Consider the following 18,413-nt stretch of genomic DNA (forward strand, 5'->3'; position numbering starts at 1 on the left):
CCTACTTGGAAGACTGAGGAAGGACTGCTTGAGCCCAGCAGTTTGAGGCTGCAGTGAGCTATGTCTGGGCCACCATACTCCAGCCTGGGTGACAGAGTAAGACCCTATCTATAAATAAATAATAAAATAAATAAGTGAGCCAGTAAGTCATGAAAACACATGGCGAAAACTTAAATGCATATTAGTTAACTGAAAGAAGATAGTGTGATAAAGCTATATATAATATGATTCCAACTATTTCACACTTTGGAAAAGGCAAAACTATGAAGACAATAAAAAAGGTCAATGGTTGCCATGGGGTTAGGAGGGAGGCAGGGATGAATAGGTAGAACACAGAGGATTTTTTAGGATAGTGAAACTACTCTGTATGATACTATTAATGATGGATACATGTCAATATAAAGTTGTCCAAACCCACAGAATGTACAACACCAAGAGTGAACCCTGAACTATGGACTTCTGAGTGATAATGATGTTTCAATGTAGGTTCATTTATTTTTAACAAATGAACTACTCTAATGGTGAATGTTGATACTGGGGGAGGCTATGCATGTGTGGGAGCAGGGGGTATATGGGAAATCCCTGTTTCCTCCACTTAATTTTGCTGTGAACTTAAAACCACTCTAAAATAAATAAGGGAAAAATCCATATCATTTACTCAAATACTATTTGATTTCATTTTAAGTCTATAGGTTTATGGGTTACGCTCTTCCTGAATTAAATATCTGGGATCACAAAATATCAATAAAAGTAATATTTTACATTGTAGTCCATAACTGACTATTACTGCAGAATTACCTATTCAGAGCAGACTGGCCCCTTTGTGGCCTAGACTCTTGAACAACATAATCCCAATCCTCCACTATTTAATGGCCCCAAATCTCTACTAAAGACAAAGCTGCACTGATAGTAGTGGTTTCTACCACACAACCTCTTTAGGACCTAACAAGGATCAATAGGAAACAATTCTTACATTCTAGAGTCACTGCATAGACATTTACTGATCATCTTGAAGTGAGTAGGGCATGTCACTGGCACTGAGGAAAGAAGGTTATAAGAGAACCAAGACTGTCCCTGATCTCCAGGAGTATATATTCATGAGCAGATACAGCATACCCATCACAGATTTTAGTACAAATGGATACAATGAAAATCAAACACACGTGCTGAGACATCGCAGAACAGAAAAGTGACTAGAGTTGGTAGAGCCAACATGGAGGAATTCTGTAGAAATGGTGTGTTCTGGGCATGACTTTAAAGACACAGAATAGCAACGAAGGGAATCCCAAGAAATAGAAATGATACGGAAATAAGAATAATTACAAGGTAAATAGAGAATACCATGGGATCTTGTTGAAGTAGAATACAGATTCAATGATGTAAAATTAATAAATAGGCAGTAATAGTGAAATCTGATAGTAAGATTCAGGAGTTTAGGCTTAATACTACAGGAAATTACCAGAGGTGGCTAAAACAGGTAAATTAAACGTTCAACATTCACTGCCTTTTTTATGCTACTGGATATTCTAGGTGCTAAGGTTGTGCTGGTGAACAAGACAAAGCCTGCTGACTGTTTTATCATCTACCTGAAGAAAGAAAGATTGATTGGAATCATGACTGCCTGACTACAGAAATGGAAAAAAATCGAACTGAGAAATTCAAAGACAACTGGCAGAACCAAATGATGGGTTAGATTTGATGGAAAACCAAAAGGAAAGAATCATGTAACTGGAAACTAGAATGACAGAAAAAAATAGATAATTTAGGGTTACAAGATTCTTTGCTTAGCTTTTAATTGTTCCAGGTTCCATGAGATGCTTCAGCTGAATTATCTACAAGTAACTAAAGCAGATTGGGAAAAGTCAGGGTAAAATAAGTTTGGAGAGCAATAATTTCCAACATATAAGATTTAATATAAAAAAGCAAACACTTGGCCAGGCATGGTGGCTCATGACTGTAATCCCAGCACTTTGGGAGGCTGAGGTGGGCAGATCACGAGGTCAGGAGTTCGAGACCAGCCTAACATGGTGAAATCCTGTCTCTACTAAAAATACAAAAATTAGCCAGGTGTGGTGGCACGCTCCTGTAATCCCAGCTACTCAGGAGGCTGATGGAGGAGAATTGCTTGAACCCGGGAGGCAGAGGTTGCAGTGAGCCAAGATCACGCCACTGCACTCCAGCCTGGGCGACGGAGTCAAAAAAAAAAAAAAAAAAAAAAAAAAAAAAAGCACACTTAGGAGTGTTTACCACTGCTAACCCTGTCTAAGCACTTTACATACATTAACATTTAATCCTTACAAAAGCATTATAAGCTAAGTCTATTATACCCATTTTACAGATGGAAAAAATGAAGTAGAAAAAAGTAACTTTTGTCCAGGGTCACAGAACTAGTAAGTGGCCAAGTGTATAATGTATAGGAGGTACAGGGATTGGTTCTCAGATTAGTTAATGAGAAGGAGAAAATGTACTTGGAAGAGAACAAAAGACAGAGGACAAATACAAGGGATAAAAAGTTGAGAAATGAATCACAAGGAGCAAGAAACCAACAGTGCCCAGTGGAGCCCAACAACATATTTGCTGATGATGCCTACGACAGCTTAAAGAAGGAAATGGAAGATGAGCCCAAGTTGGTCCAAAGGAAATGGTGGTGACTGAGAGAAGTTTCAGTGGTATGAGACTGTCTCATCTACAGTATTTGAGAGGAGTGTGTGAAAAAAATGAGGCAACAGAAGATAGATGGTGATATGGTTTGGCTGTTCCCACCCAAATCTCGTCTTGAATTGCAATCCCCATAAACCCCACGTACCTAGGGAGAGGCCTGGTGGGAGGTGACTGGATCACAGGGGCGGCTTCCCCCAAGCTCTTCTCATAATAATGAGTTCTCATGAGATCTGATGTTTTTCATTTCTTTTTTTTTTTTTTTTTTTGAGACAGAATCTCACCCTGTCGCCCAGGCTGGAGTGAGGTGGCACAATCTCAGCTCACTGAAACCTCCACCTCCCACGTTCAAGCAATTCTCAGCCTCAGGCTCCTGAGATTACAGGTATGCACGACCATGCCTGGCTAATTTTTGTACTTTTAGTAGAGATGGGATTTCCCCATGTTGGCCAGGCTAGTCTCAAACTCCTGACTTCAAGTGACCTGCCTGTCTCTGCCTCTCAAAGTGCTGGGATTACAGGCATGAGCCACTGTGCCCGGCCAAGATCTGATGGTTTTATAAGGGACTCTTCCCGCTCTGCTCCTCACTCTTCTCTCTCCTGCTGCCATGTGGAGGCCTTGCTTCCCCTTTGGGGCCTTGCTTCCCCATCATGATTGTAAGTTTCCTAAGGCCCCCTCAGCCCTGTGGAACTGTGAGTCAATTAAACCTCTTTTCTTTGTAAATTACCTAGTCTCCGGCAGTTCTTTACAGCAGTGTGAAAACAGACTAATACAGAGAGGTTTGCTTAAAGAAACCCAGTATGTTTAAAGACAAAAGGGAAGGAACACTCTAAAAGTTGACAATACAGGGATTTTTCTATTTTTCCAAAATCACTTTTAGCTACATTTACAAAATTTACAAAAAATTTTACAAAACGTTTTAATTACCACCCACTGGCCACCAAGGGTGCAGTTCATTTAGCAATTACTAGTTTTAACATAGTTCTAGCCAGGATTGCTCAGATTGCTCACCTAACATCCTCTGTGGAAGGACAGGTTTTTTTTTTTTCTTCTCACAAACCTATTGTTGGCTTCATGTCCTAGCAGAGACAGATGGCCACCAGGCTAAATAAGTGCCAGGGCATCATTTCCCCAGGCCAGGAAGCCCTGAAAGCTCCTCATGGTAGGAAGAAAGCTGCCAAGTCTCCACCTTCTGTTCTGATTTCATACATAATTTTCTGAAGTTGTTTCTATTTATCTTTTATCTAGATGATTGGCTCAGATGTTTCTGTTTTCCTTGGTCAACTGTTTTCTTCTATGATTATTTTAAATTATGCCTCAAAATATTCCACTAGAAAATAAGAACGATAAAACTAAATTAGCTGACAAATAATACCTTTACTAAATGTCATTAGGACTAATGCTTTATACTGTTTTTCAAGCACTCTTTCAGGTTAGAAAGAAAGATGTATTTTTCAGCATTTAAAGGCCTCACTGTTTATCCCTCTGTGCTCTCACTCCCTTAAGACTGCAGCTCAGTGTTAAAAATTTTTACCACGTGAGACTTGCATCACTACATGAACAGGTTTGTAAAAGTTAAAAATCAGTGTTGGCAAGGGTGTGGAAATGTTTGTTATCTTGACTGTGGGGAGTTTTACATACATGTCAAAGCTGATCAAATTGTCCACTTTAAACATGCTGTTTAGTGTACTTAATAAAGTTGACAAACTTAATATTTAGATCACATTGGCAATCTGGTACAGAAAACCATCCTCCCAAAATGAAAGAAAGGGGCAATGTTCTAGAACTCCAAGGTTTTTGTAGCACTATGAGCCTCTTCCAAAGCCTGTAGGAATAAATGTCTTTGCTCCTGACTTCTCTTTTCTGAGTCAGAAGGCTTAAACTCTTTTTTTTTTTTTTTTTTTTTTGAGATGGAATCTTGCTCTGTTGCCCATGCTGGAGGAGAGTGGCACAATCTCAGCTCACTGCAACCTCTGCCTCCTGGGCTCAAGCAATTTTCCTGCCTTAGCCTCCCAAAGTAGCTGGGACCACAGGCGCCTGCCACCAACCCTGGCAAATTTTTGTATTATGAACTCTTCTACTTCTTGACAACCATGCCCTGCTATGGCAAAGGAAAGCCTTAACATTTGAGTTGGAAATTGCTAGAAAGAATGAGAACACTTAAATGACAGAATGAATGCAAAGGAATGAAACAGTGGGGTGAACGTTCAGGCAGTATACTCAAGCCTGATAGAGGGACATAAGACTCCAGGAGAAGCAGTGAGATGTGACAGAAGGAACCATGGCTTTGGAGTCAGTCATACCCCATTTGAATTAGACCCTGATTTTGGATATGGTGAGTCTGTTTCCTCAAGAATTATAGTACCTCCCTTATGAGGTTGTTGTAAAGATTAAATAATAAGCACGTGAAAAATTGCCTAGTACATATAACAAATCCATAGAAAACACACAATAATGTTGGCTGTCTTCTCTCAAGTTTTAAATCTCACAATCAGACTTACAGGGCAACACTCACCAACAGCAATGTCACAAAGGATCAAGGTTTCATAAAATTTGAGTCCATGGCTTCATATTTCATGGTGATTTCCACAAACCTGAATCACGCTAATGTCCAAAGGGCCATCAAAATTATCTTCCATCCAGATATTAGGTGCAGTTTTTCAGGATTGTAGAGATGCTAACAAATTACAGGTTCTCTCATGCAAACACTTTGCTAGGAATTATATATATCAAGTTTATATTTGGCAATCAGGCTTTAGAAGCAGAAGGTCTAGCTATCTCAAACTACCAAATCAGCCATCAAGACTGTGGCATTCAGAAAAACTAAGTCTATCATCTCTTTTAGTAAACATAAGTGAAAAGTGGCTTAACCTGTATACGTATTGTTGATGTCATATGATAGGCAAATCATGATTAAGAGCTTGTGTAACACTGCACCACAGTTTTAAGGGGGACACTGATCTTTAATTTTCAGTGCTCTAAAAGGGATAACGGAGCAGACTAGAAGCACCTGAACACAGTGGTCTGTGTAAAGCTGATCTGGCTTTACAGAAGTAGAAGTTGGTATAACATACTCCCTGGGACCATGTAGAAACCCTGTGTTCCTCTACCTCCACTACCCAGAATGGCATAAAAAGGAGGTCTTTTTCAGAGACAAGCCTTCTGACTCAGGGACAACCTCTCACCTCAGCTGTTTGCAGGCCTTTATTGCTCTAATTGAAGGAAAAGGTTGACAACAGCAGAGGAATAGATAAACTGGAATACATTTACAATTTATAACCCTGAACTATTTTTGTTTGAGGATAGAGAGAGAAAAATGATATAACATTTATTTTATGGTTAATCAGTCATCAGATCCTTCATTAAGGCCCTGTTTCATTTCTAAACCCTACAACAGTCCAGCAAAAATCCCATCTCCTGTGTAAATATATCTTCATGCCTTCATTCCTAAGCTTTATGTTTATGAATTAACTTATCAACTTTGTTAAATGACAAATTTTTTTTTTTTGTATTTTTATTAAAGATGGGGTTTTACCACGTTAGCCAGGATGGTCTCGATCTCCTGACCTCATGATCTGCCTGCCTTGGCCTCCCAAAGTGCTGGGATTATAGGCGTGAGCCACCATGCCTGGCCAAATGAAAAATTCTTTTTTTTTTTTTTTTTTTTTTTTTTGAGACAGAGTCTTGCTCTTGTCGTCCAGGCTGGAGTACAACCTATGCCTCCTGGGTTCAAGCAATTCTCCTGCCTCAGCCTCCCGAGTAGCTGGGATTACAGGCACCCGCCACCATGCCCGGCTAATTTTTGTATTTTTAGTAGAGACGGGGTTTCGCCATGTTGGCTAGGCTGGTCTCTAACTCCTGACCTTGTGATCCACCCACCTCGGCCTCCCAAAGTGCTGTGATTACAGGCATGAGCCACTGTGCCCGGCCTGAAAAATTCTTATAGGAACCTTTAAAGTCCACACCAAAATTCATGGCCTGCTTCTTAATGGGCCTCTGAAACACCTAAGGAAAATAGAAACAAGACTTACACACATGCATTTCCTGTCTATGTCTTAAGAGAATCTGCTTTTTTCTCTTTAACAATTTACTATTTTGAAGTATTCTATATAGTGTGCAAGAGAACTAAAACATTAGACATAGACTAAACACTGAAGATTACTTGTGCAATCACTTTACAGAACAGGGAGATGAAATGACTTGTCCAGGGCATTGAGTTGCATTAGTTACTGTTAGATCCAAGACTTGAGTTCAAATCCCAATTTCAAGACTTATACTTTGGAAGAATGATGCAACCTCTCTGTGCTTCAGTTTTCTGATCTGTGCAAAGTGGGGACTGTTGTAGGTGATTATTACAGGCATAAGAATTAAATGTTAATTCAAAACATGAGGGTGGGCACAGTGGCTCATGCTTGTAATCCCAGCACTTTGGGAGGCCGAGGCGGGTGGATTACTTGAGGTCAGGAGATTGAGACCACCCTGGCCAACATGGTGAAACCCGGTCTCTACTAAAAATACAAAAATTAGATGGGCGTGGTGCTGCACGCCTGTAATCTCAGCTACTCGGGAGGCTGAGGCACAAGAATTGCTTGAACCCAGGAGGTGGAGGTTGCAGTGAGCTAAGATCGCACCACTGCACTCCAGCCTGGGTGACAGAGCTAGACTCCGTCTCCAAAAAAAAAACATAAAATAAACAAATAAATAAAAACAACATGAGTTTTGAGTATTTTATTGCTGATTCTCAGTCCAGTGTTCTTTTCATACGTTGGTTCCTTACACATAACATGCTCTTTATACTATTTGTAAGTGCCTTTGTTTTTTTAAAAATTAAATTTTATTATACATAATGCACATTTAATATATTTTGAGATAAAGAAAAAAACATTCTGGGGAACTCCTTTCCCACCCATATAACAAACTCTGTGAAAAGAGAAATAAAAAAAGTTAAGCCTTTTAAGAATTAACTTTTTCTACCTCCCATACCCCTTAAGGGTTAAGGACAAAAGAAACAGGTCCTCAAAAGCCAAACTGAAGAACTGGCAACATTTAGCTATAATAAGTATGAATAAAATCGGGGTTAAATTTCTGTTTCCCAGTAGAAAAGCATGTTTGAGTAACAGGGAGTAGCTAGCTACTCCATCTATTCAAGGAGGTTAAGAGGAGAGCTTTTGGCCGGGCGCGGTGGCTCACGCCTGTAATCCCAGCACTTTGGGAGGCCGAGGCGGGTGGATCACAAGGTCAGGAGATCGAGACCATCCTGGCTAACACGGTGAAACCCTGTCTCTACTAAAAAATACAAAAAATTAGCCAGGCATGGTGGCGGGCACCTGTAGTCCCAGCTACTTGGGAGGCTGAGGCAGGAGAATGGCGTGAACCCGGGAGGTGGAGCTTGCAGTGAGCCGAGATTGTGCCACTGCACTCCAGCCTGGGCGACAGAGCAAGACTCCGTCTCAAAAAAAAAAAAAAAAAAAAAAAAAGAGGAGAGCTTTTACATTTGAATTGCTGGGATATGGAAAACATGTTAGAAAAAAATATTCTCACTAAAAATTATGAGATAATTGTAGATGCTAAACAAATATCAACAACTACCTTTCTAGAAAATCAGGAGGTAGAGGAAGGGAGTAGGCAATTCCTAAAATCCTTTTAAATCTTCTATATCATAATTACAAAAAGCATTAAGTGTTCATCTTTACAAGATACAGTTTCTGAATAAGCTTTCACTGAAAAGTACTGAATAGTATACTATTCACTACGCAGAAACTGTGTGAAAAGTGTAAATACTACTTGTTTTTTTCTTACCCTGTTTATACCAATTTGGCAAATCGCTGATCTATAACCTGGTTTCACTGGTAAACTACTATATTAAGAATATTTTTAGGATTTGTAGGTAATGGCAAAATAGCAATCAATGAGAAAAAGGAAATAAGCTCTTCAAGAAATGTAAGACAATGAGTAATAACATGCTGTGCAAATCATGAAAAATAAAGCTCATACAGGGCAGGAAAACTGAAAGGTATCAGGTATCAAAATCACATGGGGAGCTTTTTCCACAGTATATGTTCATACCATTCTCAATATGAGTCAATTTCCAGAATGAAAATATACCGTATGTGTATACATAAAATTAACAGGTAGTTATGACAAGTTCCCTCTTACTCTCCCCATTGCCACTTGAGAATAAACTGAAGACTTACTGTTGTTATTAACAGAGGAAGATAATTAAAAAGTGTAATGTTATTTTGTTCTCCAGCCTGGGTGACAAAAGTGAAACTCCGTCTCAAAGTAAAAAAAAGGTAATTTAGAAAATGATCAAAATCTTAATTCAGAATTTTGGTGCAGGGAACAGGGAATTTACTTGTTAATTTCAGAGTTCAGGAAATAAGATCATCAGCACTACTATTTATTAAGTGCTTTTTGGATACCGAGCACTCTGATCAGCAACTTACATGTATTATTATTACATTTAATCAACATAACCATCCCAAGAGGTAAGACAGTTATTATCCATATTTTACATATGAGAGAATTGAAGCTTACAGAAGATGTGATTTGCCCAAAGTCACATAGCTGCAAGTAATACGGTAGGGACAGAAGTAAGACCAGAACTGATATCGAAGGCTGAACTAAATAATAGTCAAGTCTATGTAATAATTTAAACTTAAAATATAAAGTGCTTTGGGATATTTAAGGGGTAGTACAACACAATGTGCCCAACGTAAAATTTATTTTTTTCCTTATTTTTTTTTTTTTTTTGAGACGGAGTCTTGCTCTGTCGCTCAGGCTAGAGTGCAGTGACGCGATCTTGGCTCACTGCAAGCTCCGCCTCCCAGGTTCATGCCATTCTCCTACCTCAGCCTCCTGAGTAGCTGGGACTATAGGCGCCTGCCACAAGGCCTGGCTAATCCTTTGTATTTTTAGTAGAGACGGGGTTTCACCGTGTTAGCCGGGATGGTCTCGATCTCCTGACCTCATGATCTGCCCGCCTCGGCCTCCCAAAGTGCTGGGATTACAGGCGTAAGCCACTGCACCTGGCCCAAAGTAAAATCTCAAACATGTAATTACACAAAAAAGATGGAAAGAATTTCGGCAATACCACTAAGCCAGTCTAGGTAAAAGCATACAATAGCCTAGTTATAAACTGATGGTGAGTTAGAGTACATGACAAAACAAAATTATAAGGTCCAAGAAATATTGACAAGATTCAGATATGAACAAAAGAAGTCAATCAAGGGCATCAGTGACAATATTAACACCCAGAATGTTATCACAGAGTTTTGAAAGAGAAAGGCTCAGATATTGGCTTGATTATTCCATGCTTAAGGAGAAAATATTCCTTAAACATAGAAGGCAAATAGAGGGTCATCTAATAATTCTTGAATTTCTGAGAGTAATTCTCCCTGATCTGCTGGTAGGCAGGGCTGCCGGGAACATTTTCCACAGAGAAGCAGAAATGAGGGACTTCGGTCTTTAGTGATCTGAGCCCACATCCAGTAGGATATGCATGAGGCCCAGCCTTACATGCAACAGAATTATTTTGGCTCCATGAAGTTTTAAACAAGGCTACAATATACAGAATGCAACCAGGTATTCCAGTAGGTAATTATAAGTACAAAATAAGAAATTCAAAGTTCCAACATTCTGGATCTCACACAATCACACATACATGACTCTTCTTCCACCCACATACAGGTCTATAAAACATATATTTTCCTTGAAAAACAGAGGATATGGACATCAAAAAGAGAAGGATGATAAAACTATCTGTAAAGGAAGACTCCTTCCCGTTATATTATATAAAGGTGGTATGTGAAGACGATAATTACAAAACTGAAAAAGGTAAATGGACTAAGATGATGCCCACCACCTCCCAACCCACAATCACATAAAAGTAAAGAATTTAGAGACTATCCATGAAAACTGAGACTAAAGAGTCATACTGAGGCCAGGTGCAGTGGTTCACGCCTGTAATCCCAGCACTTTAGAAGGCCAAGGCAGGCAGATAGCTTGAGGCCAGGAGTTCGAGACCAGCTTGGCCAACATGGCGAAACCCTGTCTCTACCAAAAAAATACAAAAATTAGCTGGGCCTGGTGGCACATGCCTGTAATCCCAGCTACTTGGGAGGCTGAGGCATGAAAATTGCTTGAACCTGGGAGGTGGAGGTTACAGTAAGCCAAGATCATGCCACTGCACTCCAGCCTGGGCAACAGAGTGAGACCCTGTCTCAAAAAAATAAAATAAGTTACCAAAAGAAAAAGACTCACTGTCATAAAAAAAAAAAAAAAAAGTCACACTGAAAATGGCATTCTATTATAAATTCTTCAAATGTAGGAGGGATCACTTTTATACATGTATAGAAAAAGTGATCAGTGGGTGCTCAATAACATTAGTAACAGAAGACTATGCTAATAAACTTTCATAATAAAGAACAGGCAGCTATAAAAAAAAGGAATGTTTCTTGGAAGCACAATTAATCAGAAAACTAATGGTGATTTGGAATCTGGCAAGGATATAGTAAGTTAAGTATCTTTTGGACAGGCACAGCAGCTCATGCTTATAACCTCAGCACTTTGGGAGGCCAAGGCAGGAGGATTGCTTGAACCCAGGAGTTCGAGATCATCTGGGCAACATAGTGAGACCATGCCTCTCCAAAAACAAAACAAAACAAAACAAAAAAACAAAAAAAAAGTAGCCAGGCATGGTGATGCGTGCCTGTAGTACCAGGTACTTGAGAAGCTGAGGTGGGAGGATCTCTTGAGCCTGGGAGGTCGAGGCTGCAATGAGCTGTCATCGTGCCACCACATTCTGGCCTGGATGACAGAGTGAGACCTGTCTCTTAAAAAAAGGGACTTTGGGAGGCTGAGGCGGGCGGATCACCTGAGGTCAGGAGCTGAGACCAGCCTAGCCAACATGGTGAAACCCTGTCTCTACTAAAAATACAAAAATTAGCCAGGCATGGTGGGGAAGCTGAGGCACGAGAATCACTTGAACCTAGGAGGCGGAGGTTGCAGTGAGCTGAGTGCACCACTGCACTCCAGCCTGCTGGGCGACAGAGCAAGACTCTGTCTCAAAAAAGAGAGAGAGAAAGAATAGAATAAAATAAAAATCTTTCATGTGACATACAGTGAAAGGACATAAAGCAGATGGTTCAACAATGAAAGTCCCTGTTCCTCTAAGAATGTAGATAAAGGGACGTACTAGGGATTAAAACAATGAAGGTACAATAATGAATAGAATCAATGCAAGGTGGTTATTACATAAATCTGAAAAGACAACCTTGAAAAATATTAAGTTGAAAAACTAAAGAGAATACTGAGAATATTAATACAGAAATAAAAAATGTAAATACAAAATTAACACCTAAATCTCAATGTAGCATGAAAAATTCTATGTTTCTCATCAAGGAGACCAAACAAGAGTATGTACATGGACCAGCATATGTGTATCCCCAGAAACATTCAAAGCTTACAGTTATCCTTAAAAGAGTCACATTCCTACGCAAAAGAGAGAAGTTCCTAAGAATGCTCAGGGCTACAATCATGGAAAACTGTCCTTAAAAACATGCGGGACTCTCTTCTAAGTTTGGGTTTGCTTATTATGCCAAAAATAGGCTTGATGAGAAAGTATAATGACTAAAAGGAGCATCCTCTGAGTCTCTACAGCTTACAAAATCTAAACTGAGACTCTATCTCTAGCGCTGCTAGGAGGAAACCAGTGAAGTGGAAGCTCCAATAGATTGGCAGGGTGATGAGGCTGGTGAGGTGGGGGTGGGAGGGTGGAGGGAAGAGGTCTTCATGGAGGACTAGGTTACACGGAAACTTTTTAGATGATCAAGAGTTCTTTTCTGAAATTAAGATATATTTAAAAAATATATACGTATACACAAACACACAAAGTAAAACCTGTCTCCAGCTGAAAGATGTACAAGAAAAAAAGAGGAATGCTATTCCTTGCTACATTAAAAAAAAAAGTTAGAATAATTCATAGCAAGGAAAAACACTCTCCCATTTGGTTTCTTGCTATCAGAAACAAAGTTGATTATGTTTCCTCTGTCCTTGAGGAACACCAAACCTACCATGTGGTAATGTTATGTTTGCACCATCAATGATTGCTTGTGCCAGTTCATGATCATTGCTCTCAAAAGCATGTGCAGCAGCCTTCAAGGCATCCCAAATCTCTTTCCGGCCTTCAAAAGCTGGTGCTGTATCCCAAAATTCATCCCTCTTGCTGCGTAGTTGTCCATCTGTCATAGGATAATCGCTTTTCCATTTTGGTTTCTCCTTTTTCAAAGGCTGGTTACGACCTAGAGCAACTGAAAAGAAAAATAAAAGACTGAGATCAAACCCAAAATTTATAAAATATGTATCAAAAGTTATCTGGTCATTCCTCTCTTGGATTATTTCATCAAAATCACAGCCAGAAATTTACCTGCTAGCTAATTTGTGCATCCTGAAATTCCTCTAACACATTTTGGAACTACAAAAGTGAATAGAGACATTAGACTGCTCTATGCAAAACAAATTGGTAGCTCTTTTCCACTCAGTACACCCTCCACAGGATCATTAAAAAGAATTACAGGCTGAGTGCAGTAGCTCAACACCTGTAATCCCAGCACTTTGGGAGGCTGAGGTGGAAGGAAGGCTTGAATCCAGGAGTTCGAGACTAGCCTGGGCAACATGGTGAGACCCCCATCTCTACAAAATACACAAAAATTAGCCTGGCATGTTGGCATGTGCCTGTGGTCCCAGCTACTTGGGAGGCTGAGGTGGGAGGATCACTTGAGCCTGGGAGGTTGTGTTTGCAGTGAGCCATGATCATGCCACTGCACTTCAGCCTGGGCGAGAGTGAAACCTCATCTCAAACAAAACAAAACAAAACTAAAGAACCCCAGAGAATTATAGTTGTAATGAATGTACCACTCTGGTGGAGGATGCTGATAATCAGGGAAAGGAGGCTATGTATGTGTAGGCACTGGGAGTACATAGGAAATCTCTGTACCTTCCTCTCAATTCTGTTATGAATCTAAAACTGCTCTAAAAAAATTTTTTTTTAATACAATGAAAGTTTTGTTTTGTTCATTTTAAAAGAACTGCCTAGAAGGTAAGTGTTTCATCAGACTGTAAGAGCAGGATATGAGAGTCAAGAGACACCACGAAAGAGAGGCAAGATACTTGGGGAAGCAAACGGCAATAGTAGCTTGGACACATGAAACCAGGAAGTAGGAACTGAGAAAATCCAAAGAGGTAAAAGATTGCTTTTCAGTGCCCAGAGAAAGAAGAGCCAAACCACCAGAATCATGAACAAACTGATTAGAGGAATGCTTCCTCTAGCATTCTACTCTCTGGACTTTAGTCAAGGAACTGTAAATACCTTTCTCTGGAACTCAAACAGGAACTAATTTACAAAGGGTAGAATCAGTACTTTAGTTTTTTTGAGGAACTGGGAGTAAAAGAGATAATCTTTGATGCTAGGCCAAGGGATTAGCTCCGAACCACAAGGAGCAGAAGAACTATGATACCCTACCCTAGTTTCAACCCAAGAGAAGAAGAAAACAGAGGGCAAGTGGCAGCATCTCCCCTTAGACAATGTTATGTAGTAGTAGCGCTGGAATAAGCCTGATGCAGCATCCTTGCACCCAGATAACCATCTGGTGTATTATCTGTGATCTATTTCCATGGGTCATACTGACCTACAGAGCCATTCTTATTTATGGCTCTGTAAGATTATACAGTGCTATAGATAGGGAATAGTTTGATAGATGGGATAGAAGATAGAAAGAAAATTGAAGCTGGATGAAAAGATAAGAAGAGTGTTGGAAAAGAGTGGGTGGGAAATAAATGACACAGCGAGTGGGAAGGAGAGAGGGTGTGTGTCAAAATTCAATGTTCTATATTTAATTGCAGAAAGAATACCAATTTTAAAGAAATCACTCTCAAACTGGTTCTAAAGCATCCATGAAATTGACTACTCCCTCATTGGCCCAGGGCCAGATGAAATTTGGACTATGCAAAACAGAAAATAAAATGACTCCAGACCCTGGGCTATCTCTACTCTCCAGGCTATATTCTCAATAAAGACTGCCAGGTCAGGTCTCTTCTGTCCTCTCCCCTCAGGGTGGCACACCAAAAGACTAGCTGTTTTCCACTTAAAACACTCAGCATTAACTCAAATACTTTTTGCCCTCTAACTTGTCCTAGTGAAATGCAAAACAGGTGAGTTCTGAAAGGGTGAGGAAGCAGAATAGGAAACCCATCCATTTAGTAGCAGAGCTGGAAACAGAATCCAAGTCTCTTTATTTAATCAACAAATATGTACTGAGTGTCTACTGGGAGTAACACTACAGATGTGCCTATTACATTTAATTCAAATGCGAGAAACACAGTCTATACTAATGATTTTTCCCTACCTCTTCCAAATAATACAGACAATGCAGCTAGAGCATAATTCTCTAGAAGATGTTCAGAATCTGGTCTGATAACCACAACCCACTGATTGCACCAACACGATGGAATGCAAGGTTGATTTTATTTTCTGCTACATTATCATTTAGATGAGTTAGAGACAGTTTACAGACAACACTCAGCTTACTGACCAGGAAGTGGAAGATGGCACAGTAAGCAGGTAGACTCAGTAAGATATTTATCTGAATAAAGTTTTGGGTCTGAGTATTTCTACAGAATTATCTGGCCTCATATGTATTAAATGCATGAGAGATAACTCAGTATAATTTTTCCTGTCATTCTGAGAGAATTACAAAGCATGGACAAAAACAACAAAACCTCTACAGAAGAATCTCAGGACCTAAAACTAAAGCAAATGAAAGGAAGAGGACTTTGAAAAGAGGAAGCCAACAGAAAAACAATCATAATAAGGGTACAAAGTACCTTGGAAAAATTGTAAAACACCTTCCTTACAAATGTGAGGTAGGTTCATTTCACCTCTCTCCGTTTGTACTAAGCATAGATGAACAAAGTCCCACAAAAAGAACAGATGATGCGTTTATGTTGCTTAAGGAAAATCATTCCAAATGCATTTTCTTTAATTTTTAAATTTTATTCATATACTTGAGACAGAGTCTTGCTCTGTCGCCAAGGCTGGAGTGCACTGGTGCAACCCGACTCACTGCAACCTCCGCCTCCTGGGTTCAAGCGATTCTCCTGCCTCAGCCTCTCGAGTAGCTGGGACTACAGGCCCGCGCCACCATGCCCAGCTAATTTTTGTATTTTTAGTAGAGACGGGGTTTCACCATATTGGCCAGGATAGTTTCAATTTCTTGACTTCATGATCCGCCCGCCTCAGCCTCCCAAAGTGCTGGAATTACAGGCATGAGCCACTGCGACAGGCCCCCAATGCATTTTCAAATCTACATGCTGTCAAAAGTTTCACGGTAATTTGTGACATGAAGGAAGATTACTTTTATTTGCCTATTTCTGCCTGTATTATAAACATAATATAGAATATCTGTCTATAGAATGTCCACTGTTAAAAAATGATTAAATCTTTGTAACATAATTACTTTAGTGAAACCACAGAGCAGTGCAGAATTTTCACTACAAAATCTGAGGCTTGAAGCTTCATGTTAAACTAAATGACTAACCTTTGTTAAATAAATAACTGGGAAAAAAATTAGCATTTAGCAAAAGCATTTGAACTATCCTCTCGTGAAAACATGAAAATATTTAGGTTTGTTAAGAGGACTTAAGTTCATATTCATAAACCACTCATAATAATGCATGATATACAATAAAACTGCAAATAAATGTTTGCTAAATAAGTAAAAATGAACTTAGAGGTACTATATGAAATAACATCTTTAAGTCCTTTGGCAAAAATATACAGGCTGTCTTTCTTCTTTTCATAACTTCCCAATCCCTTCCTTAAATGTTAAAGAAATGTCCCTGATTGTCATGCACTTCCTGTGCCTTATCAGAGTACACTTGCTAGGCATTTGTTCACCAAATCTTATCCTTTGAGTTCAGGTGGTGCCACAAACCTGTATTTCTGAAAATGCAGTAGTTGGACATAGATTATCAGCCTGGCAGCTAAGTACCTCATGTTTGTACCAAGCCAAACATTTTTGTAAGATGTAGAATATATACATACTCAACTAGATTTCATTTTATGCTCTTAAACTTTCAGTTTTATCTGCTTCACACATCTTCTGACTGCTGATACCAAAAGAGAGATGCTTGGTAATCATACATAGCATATAGGACTAGGTACCATGCTCTAACAGTGAAGAATTTAAAGACAGGAAACATCTTTTATTCCCCAAATTTCTGCTTCTCTATCCTTAAACTGCAGGTAACCAACCATCTTTAGTGCACTATGAATTAACATATGAGAAATAAAAAATTAATAAAGCAATCTAATCTTAAAAAACCACACAATCTATTTCAGAAAATATCCTTTCCCCCATCAATCCACATTTACTTCAAAACGTGTCCAAAAGTCATCTTTTTCTCAGAAACCTCTTAATCATATTCACCCACTCTTTATCTTTCCTTGTAATCTTTAAACACTTCTTCCCACTCTGTAACAAATAAACAGATCTAACACACAGAAAACCCAAGTAAGGCTTGTTTCTCAGATCTAAATAACACATAATTTTAAATATTTTTACTACATAATTTAAAGCATTCTACCAAAAACTCATTTTGACATTGGTAAAAAACAATCAATTCTGAAGTTAAGTATGATTATAATTGTTTTCCTGTTTTGGGTTCCTCTTTGAAAACCTTGATTTAATGATGGAACGCTTCAAATGAAGAAAGAAGAGGCCATAATGCATGGATAAGGTGAAAATATCAAGATATGACTCAAGCAACAGCTTTAACCGGTTGAAAACTGGAAGCATCAGTTTCCATAAGACAATAGCGTGAGGGGAAAAATGGAGTATTAGAACCCTTCCGTAACAGACGGTGCTAAACTAAAAGGACACTTGCAAATATTTTCACATAAATTTAGAATGCACTATATACACACATATATACATACATGCATAATACATATATTCCCTTTACCTAAAGCAACTAACTGCCAAAAAAAAATAGGGATATGGGAATTAAAATGCCTAAAATGCCAACAATCAATACAATATGCAAATCTTCTCTACTGTTTGAGAATTTAAAGGTAGAAGAGACCTTAGATTGTATAATCCAACCTTACTGACAGATAGGAAACTAAGATGTAACAAGGATGGCTTAAAATAATCACCCCGTACTAGAACACACATGCCCAAATTCAAAGTCCAGATCTCACTGGGTGCGGTGGCTCACATCTGTAATCCCAGCACTTTGGGAGGCTGAGGCAGGGGGGATCACTTGAAGCCAGGAGTTTGAGACCAGCCTGGCCAACATGGTGAAACCCCGTCTCTCTCTTTTTTTCCTTTGAGATGGAGTTTCACTCTTGTTGCCCAGGCTGGAGTGCAATGGCATGATCTCGGCTCACTGCCACCTCTGCCTCCCAGGTTCATGTGATTCTCCTGCCTCAGCCTCCCGAGTAGCCGGGATTACAGGCGCCTGCCACCACGCCTAGCTGATTTTTATATTTTTAGTAGAGACAAGGTTTTGCCATGTTGGTCAGGCTGGTCTCGAACTCCCGAACTCAGGTGATCCACCAGCCTTGGCCTCCCAAAGTGCTGGGATTACAGGCATGAGCCACCGTGCCCAGCCTGGTGAAACCCCATCTCTACCCAAAATACAAAAATTAGCCAGGCGTGGTGGCAGGCACCTGGAATCCCAGCTACTCGGCAGGC

General features: G+C 39.5%; 1 protein-coding gene across 4 annotated transcripts in view, besides 3 other annotated features; it reads right to left on the minus strand.

The window, feature by feature from the left end:
* Positions 1-18,413, minus strand: part of UBTD2 (ubiquitin domain containing 2) — a 74,472-nt gene that overhangs the window by 11,745 nt on the left and 44,314 nt on the right. For all 4 annotated transcript variants that reach the window (XM_047417875.1, NM_152277.3, XM_047417876.1 and 1 more), the window contains one exon: positions 12,732-12,968. In XM_047417875.1, coding sequence (XP_047273831.1) covers positions 12,732-12,906 — 175 coding nt within the window. In that variant the 5' untranslated portion in view covers positions 12,907-12,968. The remainder of the gene's footprint in view (positions 1-12,731; positions 12,969-18,413) is intronic.
* Positions 2,429-2,478: an enhancer, noted in NCBI's record as "active region_23630". NCBI's record gives its function as "activates an Ori minimal core promoter by ATAC-STARR-seq in GM12878 lymphoblastoid cells {active_cell/tissue: GM12878}" and the evidence as "EXISTENCE:reporter gene assay evidence [ECO:0000049][PMID:35858748]".
* Positions 3,059-3,108: an enhancer, noted in NCBI's record as "active region_23631". NCBI's record gives its function as "activates an Ori minimal core promoter by ATAC-STARR-seq in GM12878 lymphoblastoid cells {active_cell/tissue: GM12878}" and the evidence as "EXISTENCE:reporter gene assay evidence [ECO:0000049][PMID:35858748]".
* Positions 13,738-13,787: an enhancer, noted in NCBI's record as "active region_23632". NCBI's record gives its function as "activates an Ori minimal core promoter by ATAC-STARR-seq in GM12878 lymphoblastoid cells {active_cell/tissue: GM12878}" and the evidence as "EXISTENCE:reporter gene assay evidence [ECO:0000049][PMID:35858748]".

Source organism: Homo sapiens, chromosome 5, assembly GCF_000001405.40.
Source record: "Homo sapiens chromosome 5, GRCh38.p14 Primary Assembly".
Taxonomy (NCBI): Eukaryota; Metazoa; Chordata; class Mammalia; order Primates; family Hominidae; genus Homo; species Homo sapiens.